Raw genomic sequence first — 2,725 nt, 5'->3', positions numbered from 1 at the left:
TGGGTAATCTGTCTTCTTCTGTTATTCTGGGTACTTAGGAAGTTCTTATGGACAACATGCTGGCATTCCCATTATCCTAAGATACTGAAGACTTGAAACATTGCTCTCCTACCTATTCCTTCTCTATGAGGCAACACCATTTCCCATTCTGTGCACTACCCTCCCCGCCCTTCAACACTGCTTCTTTCAGGAGCTCTGGGTCTCCCTGGAGTCCTCCTATCCACCAGGCCCCCCGTGGCATGGGCTCCTTCTCCGCCAGGCTCCTCTCTGCTCTGCACCCACGTGGTCCCTGCTGAGCCGAGGCTGGATCTACAATAGAGAGAATGGAGGCATCTGAGAACAGCATCAGGCATCTTGGAGATATTCCTCCAACACTTTTGTGGCCTGAACCACCTGTACATAAGTCTGGAGTTTTGTTGAGGTTTCACCCCTAGGTTGCCAGAGATGAAGCCAGTCTTTAGCTCCTTAGGGTCTGTTTCCTGCATTCCATCCTGTGGGGCTTTTAACATTATTTGCGTTCTAGAGCCAGGGAAGAAACTTCATTGTCGACAAAAACAAAATGTTCTTCTTTTCACCATTCTGGGTCTTAAGAAAAGAGATTTCTCACATAGTGCTGTCTTCTGCACATATGGCATGTTCTTTGCTGTACTGAATAAGGAATGTATTTGGGGGTCTATACAGTTAGATATGGGTTATGGTTGTCTTGTGCCCCTCTGTGTTCACCACACCTAACACAATATTTGCTATAGAGTAACTCCCAGTAAATATTTATTGATGGATATGGAATGAAGTTGACATTTTGAAGTAGATATGCAGACCAGCAACATGGGATGAGAAATGTAATAGACACGTACCTAATGACGTTTCTGTCAAATATCTCAAACTTATGTATAAAAATGATTTTTATTTTTTGCTATTTTGCTAAGTTGTATATTTCTGATCTCCTATTCAGACTTTTCATGCTACTTATGATGAAATAATGTGACAAATAAAATAAGTGAAGGACACTAACAGATGGGAGGCTGTTATCATAAGTGAAACAACTCAGAAGCAGAGTCAAATACCACGTGTTCTCACTTACAAGAGGAAGTTAAATCACCTGTACACATGGGCACACAGTGTAGAATAATGGACAATGGAGACTTGGAAGGGTGGCGGGGGAGGAGGGTGGTGACAGATGAGAAATTACTTAATGGGGACAATGTACATTTTTCTGGTGATCGTTATACTAAAAACCCAGACCCCAGCACTATGCATTATATTCATGTAACAAAACTGCACTTGTACCCCTTAAGTTTATACAAATAAGAAATGCAAATAATAATAATATTAAAAATAATCTTAAAACTATGGGAAAAAAAGTCAGTAGATAAAACAAGATGGAGCCATCTCTTATGAGAAAGAGAGTAAAGGAGCATAAATGGTTAACTGGAGCTAACGGCTGGCACAGGAGCCCCCGAAGGACCCGGCACCTCCACACTCAGAACTGGGCACTGTCGTCACGAAGGCTCTGCGCTCTCTTCCTGAGACATCTCCCAAGCATGAGTGGCAGTTTTCTCAGATGCTCATCTTGCTCCAGCTCAAGTGTTAAAGGAAGGGACACAGTGAAAAAATATATATTAATGGGTGAACGGCAAAAATGGGGCAAGGGATTCCTCATCGACTGAGAGTCTGAGTTCTTCTACTGTCAGCAGTGTCCATTTGTTTGTTTTGAACTTGCCTTTTTACATTTAATGTCTTTGTATCATATGGGTGGTCAAGTAAATCACAAAATCTTGGAGTCATATCTAGAAGTTTTCCTGTCAGAAGCAATGCATTATGAGCCCAGAGAGAAGTGCTAGCCCTGGATCTTGCAGCTGTGAACTGGCCCAGGACTTGGGTGAATTGTCTTCCCTGTGTCACCCCACTGCTCCTGAGCCTCCAACTAATCTTTTCATTTTTGTTGTAACTTGACTTTTCTGTGGCGTTCCGGTAGACTGGCCCCTCCCCGTTACAGCACTTAGCTTCTTTCACGTAGCAGGGATTGAGCTTTTTAGAGTGGCATTTGCATCCCTGCCCAATGTGTTGTGTGAGTCCAGGTGAAGAACCCCTGGCAGCCAGCGGTTAACCGTGCCTGGCTAACGCCGAGGCAGATGCTCCTGCTATCTCTGAGGGTTTATTGCCCCCGCTCCCATTACGCCTGACAAAGAATATGTGTACAATATGGATTCCTTAAATATACAGCCACTGAAATCATTGGCATTATGTATTTTCAAATAATTTATGTAATTGCTGTAATTAATTTTTGGTTTATGTTATGTTTGAAATAAAAAGTAATAAAATTAAAAAGCCCCCCTTACGTACAAAAGACTAAGCGCTTGCAATATTTTGGTTTCTTTTTAATTGCTCCATTTTTTACTTTGATTGGTAAAGGAAAAAAGCATCCAACTGCAAGAGAAAAACACCCGATTCCATTTAAACATAGGATTAATTCATTCGAGCTGGCACCCAGACTGACGCTTGTATTTCAAGTCTTAGTGCAATCATGTTATTTGCTCTACATTTACCAGGTCTGAATTCAGTGGCATACAGAACTATGGGCCTGGGAGACCAGCTTTTCTTGTGCTAGAAATTTCCACTGTAACTTAGCTGTATTGTTAGAGATCCTATTCCACATAATTTTTGCATAGAGGATAGTCAAAATATATTGTTTGATTTGTTGCTTTAGTTACTAGAAATATACCAA

Source organism: Homo sapiens, chromosome 18 (genome assembly GCF_000001405.40).
Source record: "Homo sapiens chromosome 18, GRCh38.p14 Primary Assembly".
NCBI classification, from domain to species: Eukaryota; Metazoa; Chordata; class Mammalia; order Primates; family Hominidae; genus Homo; species Homo sapiens.
This window is presented reverse-complemented; position numbering follows the sequence as displayed.